This window comes from Homo sapiens, chromosome 8, assembly GCF_000001405.40.
Source record: "Homo sapiens chromosome 8, GRCh38.p14 Primary Assembly".
NCBI lineage: Eukaryota > Metazoa > Chordata > Mammalia > Primates > Hominidae > Homo > Homo sapiens.
Window position 1 is genome coordinate 98,582,565 of NC_000008.11, and position 17,919 is coordinate 98,600,483.

Sequence of the window (17,919 nt, forward strand, 5' to 3'; positions counted from 1 at the left end):
TTAATCCTCCCAACACCCCCTAAAGGCAGGCAGTTATCTCAGCACCATTTTTACTTTGTTTTTCCCTCACTGATTAGAAATGCTATCTTCATAATATGCTAGTTTCCTTTGTATATTATATACCATTTGTGGGCATTTAATTCTGCTTCATTATTCTATCTCATACTGGCGTTACATACTTTTCTAAGCATTTAACAAAAAGATGTAATTTGTTTATTAAACATAAAATTTGATTTTTCTATTAAATCAATCACTATATAATTCAGATGATGTTTATTTTTTGCCTATATGGTTACTCAGTGACTGAAAACGGAATATCAAAATATCCCAATTTATTTATTTAGAGCAACCTCTTATGTCTTTAATTTGTAACATACAATGCTATATTAATATATCAAGTTTATAACTATATCTTCCTTTATATTATGTTCTTTATCAATATTAAGTGACTCCATCCTCATTTACTGATTTCTGCTGTCAATTTTGCTTTTTTGATCATGTTATTCATACTATCTTTTTATATTTTATTAAAATTTCATTGCCTGTTTTTAACTTTTTTTTTTAAATAAAAACAGACAATTGAAACATTTTTATTAGGTTAATTTCACTTTTTACATTACTACAACAATAACAAAAATACCAATACCATTGAATACAATTAAGAAGTTTACTTAAATCATATTCCTCAAAATTTGGTGTGTATCATCACATGTGTTAGAATCATGGGAGCGAGGGCAGAGGGTTACTTCTAAATATTCAAATTCTCGGCCTCCCCTAGACAAACTGAATCAGAATTTCTAAGAATGTTGCCATAGAATCTGCATTTTAGCATTTCTTTCCAAGTGATTTTTATGCAAACCAAAATTAAAAATACTGCATTGACATTTTCCATCCCAGTCTTCTGAAGATTGAAAGTTAACAGCAGGGTTGGGGTGGGCTGGGGTGGGACAAGGTCATGGGAAATAGCAGCCCAGGAAGCATCAGCACTGTCATCCTCACTGTGGTTTGGATGAAGTACCTTTTCAATAAGCTCTTCTGTATCTCTTGATAAACAGTTACATGGTAATGAAACTTTTCAAGGTTATTTCCTTGAGAATACAGCTAAGGCAGCTTCTTGCGTCTTTCCAAGCAGAATATTCTGATATTATTATTAATCTTTATCTTGTCTTGTTCTGAAAACAATTTGAGCTATCTTATGAAATTCATAGTCTATATTAGTTTAAGAAGTAGATGAGAAAATAAGCTCAGGAAAATAAACCTATGGGTAAGAGAGAGAGTGTATGTGTGTGTGTGTGTGTGTGTGTGTGTGTAAGAGAGACAGAGAGAAGAAAGAGAGAGAAGGTAACTTAGAGATTAATAAATACTTCTTTTAAAAATAGGAGTTATTTGTATTTTAGTTTTTAATTCAACCTAAACCTTCTCTCTGTAGGGTTTCACAATTTTAAAAAAGTATGTCTTTTAATTTAACAAAATGCAAACATGTATCTCTGCTAGTGGAGAAGGTAGTGAAAATCTTTTTTTTTTTAAAGTTTTTTTTTCTTTTATTATTATACTTTAAGTTTTAGGGTACATGTGCACATTGTGCAGGTTAGTTACATATCTATACATGTGCCATGCTGGTGCGCTGCACCCACTAACTTGTCATCTAGCATTAGGTATATCTCCTAATGCTATCCCTCCCCCTTCCCCCCACCCCACAACAGTCCCCAGAGTGTGATGTTCCCCTTCCTGTGTCCATGTGATCTCATTGTTCAATTCCCACCTATGAGTGAGAATATACGGTGTTTGGTTTTTTGTTCTTGCGATAGTTTACTGAGAATGATGATTTCCAATTTCATCCATGTTCCTACAAAGGACATGAACTCATCATTTTTTATGGCTGCATAGTATTCCATGGCATATATGTGCCACATTTTCTTAATCCAGTCTATCATTTTTGGACATGTGGGTTGGTTCCAAGTCTTTGCTATTGTGAATAATGCCGCAATAAACATACGTGTGCATGTGTCTTTATAGCAGCATGATTTATAGTCCTTTGGGTATATACCCAGTAATGGGATGGCTGGGTCAAATGGTATTTCTAGTTCTAGATCCCTGAGGAATCGCCACACTGACTTCCACAATGGTTGAACTAGTTCACAGTCCCACCAACAGTGTAAAAGTGTTCCTATTTCTCCACATCCTCTCCAGCACCTGTTGTTTCCTGACTTTTTAATGATTGCCATTCTAACTGGTGTGAGATGGTATCTCATTGTGGTTTTGATTTGCATTTCTCTGATGGCCAGTGATGATGAGCATTTTTTCATGTGTTTTTTAGCTGCATAAATGTCTTCTTTTGAGAAGTGTCTGTTCATGTCCTTCGCCCACTTTTTGATGGGGTTGTTTTTTTCTTGTAAATTTGTTTGAGTTCATTGTAGATTCTGGATATTAGCCCTTTGTCAGATGAGTAGGTTGCGAAAATTTTCTCCCATTCTGTAGGTTGCCTGTTCACTCTGATGGTAGTTTCTTTTGCTGTGCAGAAGCTCTTTAGTTTAATTAGATCCCATTTGTCAATTTTGGCTTTTGTTGCCATTGCTTTTGGTGTTTTAGACATGAAGGCCTTGCCCATGCCTATGTCCTGAATGGTAATGCCTAGGTTTTCTTCTAGGGTTTTTATGGTTTTAGGTCTAACGTTTAAGTCTTTAATCCATCTTGAATTAATTTTTGTATAAGGTGTAAGGAAGGGATCCAGTTTCAGCCTTCTACATATGACTAGCCAATTTTCCCAGCACCATTTATTAAATAGGGAATCCTTTCCCCATTGCTTGTTTTTCTCAGGTTTGTCAAAGATCAGATAGTTGTAGATATGCGGCATTATTTCTAAGGGCTCTGTTCTGTTCCATTGATCTATATCTCTGTTTTGGTACCAGTACCATGCTGTTTTGGTTACTGTAGCCTTGTAGTATAGTTTGAAGTCAGGTAGTGTGATGCCTCCAGCTTTGTTCTTTTGGCTTAGGATTGACTTGGCGATGCGGGCTCTTTTTTGGTTCCATATGAACTTTAAAGTAGTTTTTTCCAATTCTGTGAAGAAAGTCATTGGTAGCTTGATGGGGATGGCATTGAATCTGTAAATTACCTTGGGCAGTATGGCCTTTTTCACGATATTGATTCTTCCTACCCATGAGCATGGAATGTTCTTCCATTTGTTTGTATCCTCTTCTATTTTCTTGAGCAGGGGTTTGTAGTTCTCCTTGAAGAGGTCCTTCACATCCCTTGTAAGTTGGATTCCTAGGTATTTTATTCTCTTTGAAGCAATTGTGAATGGGAGTTCACTCATGATTTGGCTCTCTGTTTGTCTGTTGTTGGTGTATAAGAATGCTTGTGATTTTTGCACATTGATTTTGTATCCTGAAACTTTGCTGAAGTTGCTTATCAGCTTAAGGAGATTTTGGGCTAAGACAATGGGGTTTTCTAGATATACAATCATGTCATCAGCAGACAGGGACAATTTGACTTCCTCTTTTTCTAATTGAATACCCTTGATTTACTTCTCCTGCCTGATTGCCCTGGCCAGAACTTCCAACACTATGTTGAATAGGAGTGGTGAGAGAGGGCATCCCTGTCTTGTGCCAGTTTTCAAAGGGAATGCTTCCAGTTTTTGCCCATTCAGTATGATATTGGCTGTGGGTTTGTCATAGATAGCTCTTATTATTTTGAAATATATCCCATCAATACCTAATTTATTGAGAGTTTTTAGCATGAAGGGTGGTTGAATTTTGTCAAAGGCCTTTTCTGCATCTAATGAGATAATCATGTGGTTTTTGTCTTTGGCTCTGTTTATATGCTGGATTACATTTATTGATTTGCATATATTGAACCAGCCTTGCATCCCAGGGATGAAGCCCACTTGATCATGGTGGATAAGCTTTTTGATGTGCTGCTGGATTCGGTTTGCCAGTATTTTATTGAGGATTTTTGCATCAATGTTCATCAAGGATATTGGTCTAAAATTCTCTTTTTTGGTTGTGTCTCTGCCCGGCTTTGGTATCAGAATGATGCTGGCCTCATAAAATGAGTTAGGGAGGATTCCCTCTTTTTCTATTGATTGGAATAGTTTCAGAAGGAATGGTACCAGTTCCTCCTTGTACCTCTGGTAGAATTAGGCTGTGAATCTGTCTGGTCCTGGACTCTTTTTGGTTGGTAAGCTATTGATTATTGCCACAATTTCAGATCCTGTTATTGGTCTATTCAGAGATTCAACTTCTTCCTGGTTTAGTCCTGGGAGAGTGTATGTGTCGAGGAATTTATCCATTTCTTCTAGATTTTCTAGTTTATTTGCGTAGAGGTGTTTGTAGTATTCTCGGATGGTAGTTTGTATTTCTGTGGGATCGGTGTTGATATCCCCTTTATCATTTTTTATTGCATCTATTTGATTCTTCTCTCTTTTTTTCTTTATTAGTCTTGCTAGCGGTCTATCAATTTTGTTGATCCTTTCAAAAAACCAGCTCCTGGATTCGTTAATTTTTTGAAGGGTTTTTTGTGTCTCTGTTTCCTTCAGTTCTGCTCTGATTTTAGTTATTTCTTGCCTTCTGCTAGCTTTTGAATGTGTTTGCTCTGGCTTTTCTAGTTCTTTTAATTGTGATGTTAGGGTGTCAATTTTGGATCTTTCCTGCTTTCTCTTGTGGGCATTTAGCGCTATAAATTTCCCTCTACACACTGCTTTGAATGCGTCCCAGAGATTCTGGTATGTTGTGTCTTTGTTCTCATTGGTTTCAAAGAACATCTTTATTTCTGCCTTCATTTCGTTATGTACCCAGTAGTCATTCAGGAGCAGGTTGTTCAGTTTCCATGTAGTTGAGTGGTTTTGAGTGAGATTCTTAATCCTGAGTTCTAGTTTGATTGCATTGTGGTCTGAGAGATAGTTTGTTATAATTTCTGTTCTTTTACATTTGCTGAGGAGAGATTTACTTCAAAGTATGTGGTCAATTTTGGAATAGGAGTGGTGTGGTGCTGAAAAAAATGTATATTCTGTTGATTTGGGATGGAGAGTTCTGTAGATGTCTATTAGTTCCGCTTGGTGCAGAGCTGAGTTCAATTCCTGGGTATCCTTGTTGACTTTCTGTCTCGTTGATCTGTCTAATGTTGACAGTGGGGTGTTAAAGTCTCCCATTATTAATGTGTGGGAGTCTAAGTCTCTTTGTAGGTCTCTAAGGACTTGCTTTATGAATCTGGGTGCTCCTGTGTTGGGTGCATATATATTTAGTATAGTTAGCTCTTCTTGTTGAATTGATCCCTTTACCATTATGTAATGGCCTTCTTTGTCTCTTTTGATCTTTGTTGGTTTAAAGTCTGTTTTATCAGAGACTAGGATTGCAACCCCTGCCTTTTTTTGTTTTCCATTTGCTTGGTAGATTTTCCTCCATCCTTGTATTTTTAGCCTATGTGTGTCTCTGCACGTGAGATGGGTTTCCTCAATACAGCACACTGATGGGTCTTGACTCTTTATCCAATTTGCCAGTCTGTGTGTTTTAATTGGAGCATTTGGTCCATTTACATTTAAAGTTAATATTGTTATGTGTGAATTTGATCCTGTCATGATGATGTTAGCTGGTTATTTTGCTCGTTAGTTGATGCAGTTTCTTCCTAGTCTCGATGGTCTTTACACTTTGGCATGATTTTGCAGCGGCTGGTGCCGGTTGTTCCTTTCCATTTTTAGCGCTTCCTTCAGGAGCTCTTTTAGGGCAGGCCTGGTGGTGACAAAATCTCTCAGCATTTGCTTGTCTGTAAAGGATTTTATTTCTCCTTCACTTATGAAGCTTAGTTTGGCTGGATATGAAATTCTGGGTTGAAAATTCTTTTCTTTAAGAATGTTGAATATTGGCCCCCACTCTCTTCTGGCTTGTAGGGTTTCTGCTGAGAGATCCGCTGTTAGTCTGATGGGCTTCCCTTTGAGGGTAACCCGACCTTTCTCTCTGGCTGCCCTTAACATTTTTTCCTTCATTTCAACTTTGGTGAATCTGACAATTATGTGTCTTGGAGTTGCTTTCTCGAGGAGTATCTTTATGGCGTTCTCTGTATTTCCTGAATCTGAACGTTGGCCTGCCTTGCTAGATTGGGGAAGTTCTCCTGGATAATATCCTGCAGAGTGTTTTCCAACTTGGTTCCATTCTCCCCATCACTTTCAGGTACACCAATTAGACGTAGATTTGGTCTTTTCACATAGTCCCATATTTCTTGGAGGCTTTGCTCATTTCCTTTTATTCTTTTTTCTCTAAACTTCCCTTCTCGCTTCATTTCACTCATTTCATCTTCCATTGCTGATACCCTTTCTTCCAGTTGATCGCATCGGCTCCTGAGGCTTCTGCATTCTTCACGTAGTTCTCGAGCCTTGGTTTTCAGCTCCATCAGCTCCTTTAAGCACTTCTCTGTATTGGTTATTCTAGTTATACATTCTTCTAAATTTTTTTCAAAGTTTTCAACTTCTTTGCCTTTGGTTTGAATGTCCTCCCATAGCTCAGAGTAATTTGATCGTCTGAAGCCTTCTTCTCTCAGCTCGTCAAAGTCATTCTCCATCCAGCTTTGTTCCGTTGCTGGTGAGGAACTGCATTCCTTTGGAGGAGGAGAGGCACTCTGCTTTTTAGAGTTTCCAGTTTTTCTGTTCTGTTTTTTCCCCATCTTTGTGGTTTTATCTACTTTTGGTCTTTGATGATGGTGATGAACAGATGGGTTTTTGGTGTGGATGTCCTTTCTGTTTGTTAGTTTTCCTTCTAACAGACAGGACCCTCAGTTGCAGGTCTGTTGGAGTAACCTGCCGTGTGAGGTGTCAGTGTGCCCCTGTTGGAGGGTGCCTCCCAGTTAGGCTGCCCGGGGGTCAGGGGTCATGCACCCACTTAAGGAGGCAGTCTGCCCCTTCTCAGATCTCCAGCTGCATACTGGGAGAACCACTGCTCTCTTCAAAGCTGTCAGACAGGGACATTTAAGTCTGCAGAGGTTACTGCTGTCTTTTTGTTTGTCTGTGCCCTGCCCCCAGAGGTGGAGCCTACAGATGCAGGCAGGCCTTCTTGAGCTGTGGTGGGCTCCACCCAGTTCGAGCTTCCTGGCTGCTTTGTCTACTTAAGCAAGCCTGGGCAATGGCGGGCGCCCCTCCCCCAGCCTAGCTGCTGCCTTGCAGTTTGATCTCAGACTGCTGTGCTAGCAATCAGCGAGACTCCGTGGGCATAGGACCCTCTGAGCCAGGTGCGGGATATAATCTCGTGGTGCACCATTTTTTAAGCCCGTCGGAAAAGTGCAGTATTAGGGTGGGAGTGGCCTGATTTTCCAGGTGCCGTCCGTCACTCCTTTCTTTGACTAGGAAAGGGAACCCCCTGACCCCTTGCACTTCCCGAGTGAGGCAATGCCTCGCCCTGCTTCGGCTCGCACACGGTGCACGCACCCACTGACCTGCGCCCACTGTCTGGCACTCCCTAGTGAGATGAACCGGGTACCTCAGATGGAAATGCAGAAATCACCTGTCTTCTGCGGCGCTCATGCTGGGAGCTGTAGACCGGAGCTGTTCCTATTCGGCCATCTTGGCTCCTCCGAAAATCTTCTCTTGAGAAAAGTGAATGGACAAATAAAGATTTCTCATTTCCGACAAAAGAAAATAACCAGCATTGATTTGCTATTTCTGTTGTTATGAGTGCTTCCAGGTGGTTGTCTTTGGATCTGCTCTGTTCCTGTGCACCTCTTCTTGGAATATAAATTTCTGAGCCTCAATGTGCCCTGATGCCGTTCCTTTCTTCCACCGTAAGAGTTACCGAAAGCTCGGCGTCCGTGATGGGGTAGAGGGCTTCCGAGGCGATCGGGCAGTGTCAGTCTTCAGCCGCTAAGCCGAGAAGATCTGGGAAGGAGTCAGAGAGCCTTGGGCCAGAGTTCCAGGGGCTCTGGGAGTGGCGGATTTGAAATTGGTGAGATGTATCTTGGGCTGGTCGGTCTGAGGACCTGAGGTCCTAGGTGGATCTTTCTCAAGGAGCAAAAAGCAGGAGGACGGGGGATTGATCTCCCAAGGGAGGCCCCCCGATCCAAGTCACAGCACCAAATTTCATGCACGTCCGTGTGAAGAGACCACTAAACAGCTGTTTTTAACTTTTAACCCAAATTCTTTTAAGTATGCCTCATGTAGAAACATGAGTTGGATTTTATGTAAGTTTGTAAGTTTATCTCATGTAGAAAGCATGGAGTTGCATTTATCTTATGAACTAAGTGAACCATTTAGTACTTAACTAAATATTATTTAAAAAAATTAACCACTTATGTTAGTATATAATTATATGCTAATGCCATTTTATCACAATTGTTTTACATTATGTAAAACATACATGTTTTATCATAATATTCTATCATAAATGTTTTACATTTGCCATCTTGTTTTTTCTGCATTCTTTTTTACGTTGCTTTGCAGTTTTAATTTTACCACCTGCTAATCTTAAAATGCCTTTAAAAATATACAGATAGTCCCTGACTTACAAAGGTTCAATTTAGGATTTTTCAACTTTACAATGCTGCAAAAGTGATATGCATTCAGTAGGAACCATACTTGGAATTCTGATATTTGATATTTTCCCAGGCTAGTAATATGTGGTACAATACTCTCTTCTGATGCTGAGCATGGAGGTATTAATAAGTCCCAGCTCCCAGTGAGCTATGCGATCATGAGGGTAATTAACCAATATTCTATAGTGTACTGTGTTGTCAGCATTTTTTGGATATTGTGTTTTGTGTTTTCACATTCAATTGCGTCTACAAAACACTCAACTACACTAATGTATGTGTTCTGGGCACGTTTTTGGTAGGCTAGGCTAAGCTAGGATAGGTGTATTTTAACACCTTTTTGACTTACAATATTTTAAACCTTCATTGGGGTTTATCAGGACCTAACTCCATTGTAAGTTAAGGAGCACTTGTACTTAAAAACTTGGCAATTTGTCTGATAAAACTTCTCTTCTGACTCAAGAATACTCAAATAATATGGTCTTGCTCTTCATGTACCCTTTTAACTTTATTAGCCAGTTCCTCTTTGTTGATCAAAACCATGTCTGCAGCAGTTATGTAGGGAAAGCATGAGTACAAATGAAATTGGACATACCGAGATTTTGAGATTAAGAATGTTAAGCTCTATAGACTAACTGTAGCATAACACTATAGTGAATTGACAATGAATTGCATAAAAGCAGGGTTGTGGTAAATTGGACGAACCAGATAAGTATATTGGCTTTTCTTAAAAATAACTGCAGCTTAGAAGGGTAGTTTATACATTCCCCTGAGAAGATAAAGTATAATGTAGTTTGAATTTTCTATACTTTGTTAAAGAAATATAATTCTACTGGTTTCTAGTTTCTGTAGTGTTGGTCTTCTCTCACTTCTGTTAATACATAATCAGTCACTAAATCCTTCTCATTCTTTCATCAGATTTACTATTTTCTATTTTGGCAACTATTTTTTTAAACTCAGGTCCTTAACAATTCACACCTGTATTATTACAGTGCCTCCTCATTCTATTTCTATACTTTGTTGCAATATTATGTTATCAAAGACATTCTTTTCTTACATTCTCTTGTTTACATATGTAAGTAAGGTGGCTCTCAGACAAAATTGAGGCATCTCATCCTAGGCATCAGAATACCCTTCTTGCTTCACTGTTGTCTGTATCTAAACTCAGACACCACTTCTCTAACTGGTGTTTCTATTCTGGCTAAGCAGATCTTACTGTGTTCTAAAATACATCTCCCATTTTTGTGTCTTTGTTCATATTGTTCATACCATTTCTCCTCCCTAAAATGATCTGCTTCTTCTGTATGAGGTATCTGTGATTACCATATCCATTCTTCTACTTTTACATTTCTTAATCATATAGGCTGTGCATCATGAATGTAACTTCTACATTGTATTATAATTTTTTAACATTTTTGTCTTTCATTTCTCAAAGAATATAACTTCAGTTTTTTGTGTGTTTTTGGGGTGTGTGTGTGACCTTTCTACTAGTTTGTCAAAAATGTTTAGAGTAGGACAGGAGTCTTTTCTTTCTTATTGCTCTACACTCCTCTAGGACACTGTCTTTGTCTTTACAGTTGTTTGAAGTTGTGTTGTAAGTACCTCTGTTTTCCAACTTGATAAAAAGGGAAGAGATCATGGAAGACTGCTCACTGACTTACTTTATTTATTTATTTATTTATTTATTTATTTATTTATTTATTTATTTTGAGACAGAGTCTCACTCTGTTGTCCAGGCTGGAGTGCAGTGGTGCGATCTTGGCTCATTGTAATCCCTGTCTCCCGGGTTCAAGTGATTCTCTTGCCTCAGCCTCCCAAATAGCTGGGACTACAGACGTGCACCACCATGTCTGGCTAATTTTTGTATTTTTCGTATAGACGGGGTTTCACTATGTTGGCCAGGCTGGTCTTGAACTCCTGATCTCAAGTGATCCACCTGCCTCGGCCTCCCAAAGTGCTGGGATTACAGGCGTGAGCCACGGTGCCTGGCCACTTACTGACTTTAGAATCTCGGCTGCCCACCAGCAGGTATAAGGATCATCTTCAGATCAGGAACTCCGGTGCTAATAGACTGAAACTGAACCTTGTCTTTTAACATCTCCAGGGTTTTAATTTATCTTTAAAAACTACTAAAATTTCAATTTAATAATCTCAAAGGATCCTTCCCTTCTATGATTTTTAAAAATGTATACAATAATCTATCTGTGTCATAGAAAATCAATCACTATTTTAAAAATCCATCAGGAATTTCTTTTTAAATATTGTTTCTTTGTTTACTGGAAATGAATATGGTATAATCTGTACACGTAAGCTATAGATATATGTCAACTAAAATTTGGTAATCAGATTGTCCACTGAGAGTTAAACTATGATTTAAATTAGGGGTCCCCAACCTCCAGCTGCAGACTGGTACCTGCCTTGGCCTGTTATGAACTGGGCTGCACAGCAGGAGGTGAGTGAGCATTACAGCCTGAACTCTGCCTACTGTCAGATCAGCAGTGGTATTAGATTCTAACAGGAGCACAAACCCTATTGTGACCTGCACATGTGAGGGATCCAAGTTGCATGCTCCTTATGAGAATCTAACTAATGCCTAATGATCTGAGGCAGGACAGTTTAATCCTGAAACAATCCCAACTCTGCTCACCATCCATGGAAAAACTGTCTTCCATGAAACCAGTCCCTGGTGCCAAAAAGGTTGGGGACAACTAATTTAAATCATAACAGATAAGACATACAAAACTCCTTGAAGAGACAGAATGGTTCCTAGGCTTCCTGCTAAATAAGACTCTAATGAGGCCAAAGATAATTATCCTACCCCCCCAAAAAAAAATTTAAATCAGAAGTTTGTTAGGTTAAATACACACATATTAACTTTAATATGTACAAGTACTGGATACTAGGAGTCCAAAGGTAGTACCCTTTGGACTACTTTAAAATACATATATATTTCAGCAGGGCGAGATAGCTCACGCCTATAATCCCAGGAATTTGGGAGGCCAAAGTGGGCAGATTACTTGAGCCCAGGAGTTCGAGACTAGCCTGGGTAACATGGCGAATCCTGTCTCTACGAAACAGACAAAAGTTAGCTGGATGTGGTGGCATGCATCTGTAGTCCCAGCTACTCAGGAGGCTGAGGTGGGAGGATAGGTGGAGCCCAGGAGGTAGAGGTTTCAGTGAGCGAGATCATGCCACTGCACTCCAGCGGGGGCAATACAGTGAGACCCTATCTCAAAAAATACATGGGCCGGGCACGGTGGCTCATGTCTGTAATCCCAGCACTTTGGGAGGCTGAGGCAGGCGGATCACTTGAGGTCAGGAGTTTGATACCAGCCTGATCAACATGGCGAAACTCTGTCTCTACTAATAATACAAAAATTAGCCAGGCATGGTGGCACACACCTGTAATCCCAGCTACTTGGGAGGCTAAGGCACGAGAATCACTTGAAACCAAGAGGCAGAGGTTGCAGTGAGCCAGGTGCCACTGCACTCTAGCCTGGGTGACAGAGTGAGATACCATCTCAAAAAAATAAAAAATAAAATAAAATATATACACACACATATAATATACATATATAACACATACATATATATTTCAAATGAATATTGACAATATTTCAAAATAAATGTTTTAATCAATTTTTGTGGAAAAATAAAATTTTACCATCTTAACCATTACTTTTTGAAAGGTAGTATTTGCACATAACCCAAATCGCAAAAGTCTCATAAACAGTTTTCATCAAAAAGCAAGTCTCCATCCCAGTCCTGCCCCATCCATAGTTAGTTACCTTTTCTGGAGGCCAGTTTCTTGCTTATTTTTCCAGAGATACTTCATTATAAGCATTAAGATATGTATATATGTTGTGTGTACATAGGTGTATTTTTCCAGTAACTCTTTTTCTTGTACTTTAAATTGTTTCCAACTTGTTGACAGACATTTAGGATCTTTCCAATCTTTTACAATTTCAATGTTCTACGAATATTTTTACACATGTTATTTCACACATGGTTAAATATTTCTGTAGAATAAATTCCTAGAAGTGCAACTGTTGGATCAAAGAATATATGGATTTTTATTTTAAATAGATATTGCTGTACTGGCATCTATGGAGATTGAGTACCAAGTTACACTTTCATAACAATAAACATTATACTTAAGAGCCTGTTTTCCATACCCCTCAATACATCCTTTTGGAAAAATGGGACTTTGGAAAGTTACTTTTTTTTTTTTTTCCTTTTTTCTTTTTTTGTTCTTTTAACCCAATGGTTCCTTTAGAGACAGGGAAGTCCCTTTTTACAAGAACCATGTTTTTCATCCTTTTGTCACTTAACAATAGAAATCATTTAGCAAATATCAAGTTTTGTTAATGTGAGACATACTTATTATTAGCTGAAAGTTCTAAGACTATTCTGTTGGGGAAATTAAGATTCACAAACACCTATTATAAATATTAAATTATTTCTATTTGCATTAAATTTTAAGGTAGATTTTAAAATCTACTGACATTCTGGATACAAAGTCTACTTACAATTATTCTATCAAAAAAAATTGAAACTCTGAAGCTCTTCATTTAGATAATCCTGTAACTGATATTTACAACGTGATAATCTCTTCAAGGAGTCCAGGGATCTTGTACTTACATATTTTATGGTGGAGCAAAAAGTCAAAGGATAAATGCTGAGTCAAGGAACAGAAGAAAAAAAAAACATGAGAAATAGTAACTATGAAGACAAAGATTCCTTTCTGAAAGGAGAATGCTTTGGAAATTTTGTTTTAAAATGACTCTGGGGGAAATGAGGGGACGAGAGGGGAGGAAAGAAAAGAAGGGAGCAAACAGGAGGGGAGGGGAGGTTTACATCTTTAGAAATCAGTTATGAAACACACAGCAATTCTGGCCAATGTCAGAAAGCTGAAAGGTATGAAGAAAATATCCTTCCCTTCGAGGCACAAGCACTGACCTGTAAAAGTTGTGTTGCAGTAGCTCTCTGCTCAGGATTCTTCACCAAACACTTTTTAACAAAATCGGTGAAATCATCGGACCAAAGTTCTGGCTTTCTGAATGTTGGTGGTGGATTTGTGGGAATCATAAAAATAGCCTAGTACAAATGAAATATCCAAAAGACAGTAAGAATCACACTAGCACAATCAAATAAACAAATCTCTTTATCTGTCTTTTTATCAGACTCTAAATTTGAAAAACAAATTTAAGCTGTTCTAGGATTTCTAGTAACACTGAAATTCAGGAAGCCAGTCCATCTGCTACTAATGTAATCATTTCCCATTAAATTTCCTCTATTTGAATTGTAGCTCATTGAGCACATCATTCTTTATTTTACCTATTACTTTTTTTTATCAGTCTCTAAAGAAGACTATATTTCTGACCCACTAAGGACTTTCCCTAAACATATATATTCCCAAATTTTGCTACTACATGCCAGATTTACTTCTTGTTTCAGTTTTATATAAGCATTGCTGCTTAAAATGGGTAGTAGGAGTCCAATTTGCTTTTGCAATCCAGAATATTTAAGTAAAATTACTGCTATAATTTGAAATAATACTTGACAGAGCCAAGACTTTTCTCTTTTTAAATATGAGTCAAAATTTCAAATGAAAAATTTCAAAGGTAATATACTACTTTAATTTATTACTAATGATTGAGTACTTATAATTTAGTGGTAATGATAATACATTCAGAAACCTCAAAAATCAAAAGCCATAAAAAGAGTCCATCTCATCTCTCGCCTCCTAGATAGTCACCCTGGCCTGTTTTTGCTTTTAATCTGAGTATGTTTATGACCCAAGAAGTAGATTAAAAAAACAAAAACAAAAACCTGAAGACATTCTAAATATGAAATACAAGTCAGTTAGGGGGTTAATGTAGATGTCCCAACATGAGTAATAAAATGTTCAAACTAGAATAGTATCTACAGGAATGAAATGGAAGAAATGAAGCATGAGATACTTCAAAGGAGGAACCAAGAGTACATGCTAATAATATTGTTTTGGAGAGGTGAAAAAAGGAAGCATGAAAAATTACTCCAGAATTCAAGAAATAAGAAATAGGTACCTTAAATTGCAAGGCACTCAGGTATTTTAATAATTGCCTATATCATTCTTTTGAATGCCCTCAGAATATGCAGCCATTTAATATAATGCATTATCATTGGTTTCTTACTTGGAAAGTGATCAAATGGACTTTCTGTGGACACAGCAGCAAAGACTCAATATCCAAGTCTGTTGATTATAGGTTAAGAGTCAATCTTTTTACCAGTATATGCATCTTCTTTCAAAAAACGTAAATTCTTTAATAGATTAGAATATTTTATATACCTCACGTCATGTTATACATATTACATCTATGATAGTCTTTCAAAAGCAGTGTAGCCAGTATTACAAAACAATAAACATCTTTCAATCAAACAAATATTTATAAAGCATTTCTGTGTGTTCAGAACAATGCTATAATTTAGAGGTATCAAAACAAAGGGCCACAGGCCAAATAGTGCCAGTGGACCTACTTCGTTCAGACAAAATCAATCTCACATTGCCACAAGATGAATCTGCTGTAATTAGACTAATTTAAACTAGGACATATGTTCTTCCTTTTGCGTGAGCTCTATCTAGCCTGGCTCAATTATCTACTTTATGTGATGGTCCCTTTAAATATCAGACCTTATAAACCCGGCTATTACAGTTTTTAAAATAGGATACATATCTCAGACCCCCAGAGCTCACAGTCAACTTGTGCAGAAAAAAAAAAAAACACATATGAAACGAATAGCAAACAACTGAGTGCCAGACAATGAAATTCTGCCTGCAAATAACCTAATTAATCTCAGACAGCTCCACAGTTGAGGCAGAACCTAATAAGGCTTTAAAAAATGAGTAAAATGGGGTTAAAAGCAGCTGCTGGAAAAGGCACACAAAACCACCTGCTACTTCCAACTAGAGAATAAAAATAAATTTGAACTCTCATCTCTGTGAAACAGTTCAAAGGACTTACATAAGCCCCTATATAGACTGACCTCAAACTGCAGGTAAATTATACTAGATTGTCTAGATAAATATTGTTCATCTGCACTTCTGTTGTAAACTGGTGGATAACACAATGATTTATGTCCTTGAAGCCAATGCTCTCCTTTGAACTTTGAGGCAATGAGTTGCAGTCTTATCTTGAGATAATCTTAACATATAAGGCTCACCTTAGCAGTAGCTATTAGAAACCCAAGGATAAAAAGCTTAACTCTAACTCTTATTTACCCAGTACTCTCATAAAGTGAACCTAAAATGTCACATTCTACCCTCAAATATGCATTGAACAAGCATGAACACCGAGCATACAGTCCAAACAAATAAGTCTTAGCGTATGATCTACACCAAAATGTCTCCAGGAAAACCACTATGCCATTTATTTCCATTTTTTAAGGTTAGCTCATCAATAATAGATTTTCTTGACAGCCTTACTGTACTAATTTAACTAATTTAACCTAATAATGAACCACAGAGGATCCTCTTAAGAATCTCTAGGTTTTATATGAGTTGATTAGGTATTAGGCCCCTTCTATAGAAAGTTTTGGCAATCAGTGGCTCACTTTAGACTAACAATTCATTCCCTTGCCACCAACCAAATCACAGGGACACACATTACAGCCATATAATTTATCTTATCTCTAACACCATTTTGATTGAAGAATGTTAGTAAAATAAATGACATGATTATCCTTGTGTTTGTTTCTACACAATGTGTTGCTTAACTACATACCAAACCTCTGATTATGTTTCTAAAAGAACTACTCTGATCACAAGCAGTTTAATAACGCAAGAAATCTAGGTGCTTCAAAACAACTAATTATCTTCATGCCTGAAATGTCATGCCTTAGACTGCAAGAGTACCCAGGAGATGTGGAAAGGGCTGAAAATGAGAATCAACAATGACTGAACTTTATAATCTCAGTGGAATGAGTCAACACATGTCTGACTCTACAGCAGCTGAGTCTGTGAATGTATAGAAGTGATGGGCATGCCAGAATAACAAAGAAATTCATGCTATTATTTAAGAACCTCAGATATATGAGCAAAAGGTTATCTTCACAACAAATAAATGAGATAAAGGATGAGAAAACACTATAAAACTATAAAGAAGTAAACAAATATAGCTGTTTCCTGATAGCAAACATAATACACAGGTAACAAGCTAAATAAAATTTTAAAATAATTTCTGGAAAGGAAATAAAGTAATTACACTAATTTATAAAAGACAGTACAAATAAAAGCAAACAGTACAATGTGATGAGGCCAATACTGGACATGAGTCAGAAAAACTGGCTTGAGTTCTAAATCACTACCTGACTGTGTGGCTTTAGTATCATTTTGTTTTTTTTTTCCAAGTAAGGAGGTTGAACTGGATGTTTATCAGGTCCCGTACTGGGTATAAAAAGACCCTGGCACTCTTTACCACGTATTAAAAAACCCTGGCACTCTAACTGCCTAGCAATTGAAGGGTAAAATTATACTAAACAAGTATTAAATTGCTAGTTAGGAAAGGGATGGAGAAGAGGAAAAAGAGGGAAGGACAGGAAAAGGCCTTTTAGATGTTAATATAAAAATGTGAATCTAGGCCAGGTGCAGTGACTCATGCCTGTAATCCCAACACTTTGAGGGGCTGAGGCAGGTGGATCACCTGAGGCCAGGAGTTCGAGACCAGCCTGGCCAATATGGTGAAACCCTGTCTCTCCCAAAAAACAAAAATTAGCCAGGCATGGTGGCAGGCACTTGTAATCCCAGCTACTAGGGTGGCTGAGGCAGAATTGCTTGAACCTGGGAGATGGAGGTTACAACGAGCCAAGATCACGCCATTGCACTACAGCCTGGGCAACAAGAGGGAAACTCCATCTAAAAAAGAAAAAAAATGTGAATCTAAATTTTTATCACCATTCCCTCAAAAGCAAATATGAAATATACAGAAATTTTGAAGAGAATAGTAAATCTAAAGTGAAACTTTCTCCTATAATAAAGTTTCCACAGTAAGCACAGAGTTAAAGTATTGGGAACATGAACTCACAATTCACTCCAGTTCCAGTAGCAATCATTAATCTGGCCAAGAAAGGCCAATGTGCCAGCCTGGAAACCAAATTAAGGGAGAGGGTGCAGCTGGTATTCTGGAAGTACAAAGCAAATAAGAGAACCAGCTCTAGATGGCACTGGGTACATAACAGCACCATTATTAGTAACTATCTGACCTATTTAACTACTCTATGCCTCTGTTCCCATATCTTAATATGGGAATGTTAGGGCTGTTCTGAATTTTAAATAGATTAATACATGTAAAACACTTAGAATAGTGCCTGGCACAATTGTAAATGCTCAATAATGTGAGCTATTATTAACCTAATTTTACGACTGAGGCTCAC

General features: G+C 37.7%; 1 protein-coding gene across 17 annotated transcripts in view, besides 1 other annotated feature; it reads right to left on the reverse strand.

Annotated features, from left to right (window-relative positions):
• STK3 (serine/threonine kinase 3) overlaps positions 1 to 17,919 on the reverse strand; it is a 598,636-nt gene that overhangs the window by 238,590 nt on the left and 342,127 nt on the right. For 15 of the 17 annotated variants that reach the window (XR_007060753.1, XR_007060752.1, XM_047422133.1 and 12 more), the window contains one exon: positions 13,468 to 13,605. The exons of 1 other annotated variant lie outside the window; for it this stretch is intronic. Coding sequence is in view for 13 of the 16 variants with exons in the window: in XM_047422133.1 (XP_047278089.1) it covers positions 13,468 to 13,605 (138 nt within the window). In the remaining 3 variants the exon portion in view is untranslated. Of the gene's footprint in view, positions 1 to 12,296; positions 13,187 to 13,467; positions 13,606 to 17,919 lie in introns of all 17 variants that reach the window. One more of the 17 variants, XR_007060754.1, reaches the window with a different exon arrangement.
• Positions 7,149 to 8,348: an enhancer, noted in NCBI's record as "BRD4-independent group 4 enhancer chr8:99601941-99603140 (GRCh37/hg19 assembly coordinates)". NCBI's record gives its function as "activates an origin of replication core promoter dependent on BRD2, P300/CBP, MED14 and CDK7 cofactors, and independent of BRD4, by STARR-seq in HCT116 cells {active_cell/tissue: HCT116}" and the evidence as "EXISTENCE:reporter gene assay evidence [ECO:0000049][PMID:35650434]".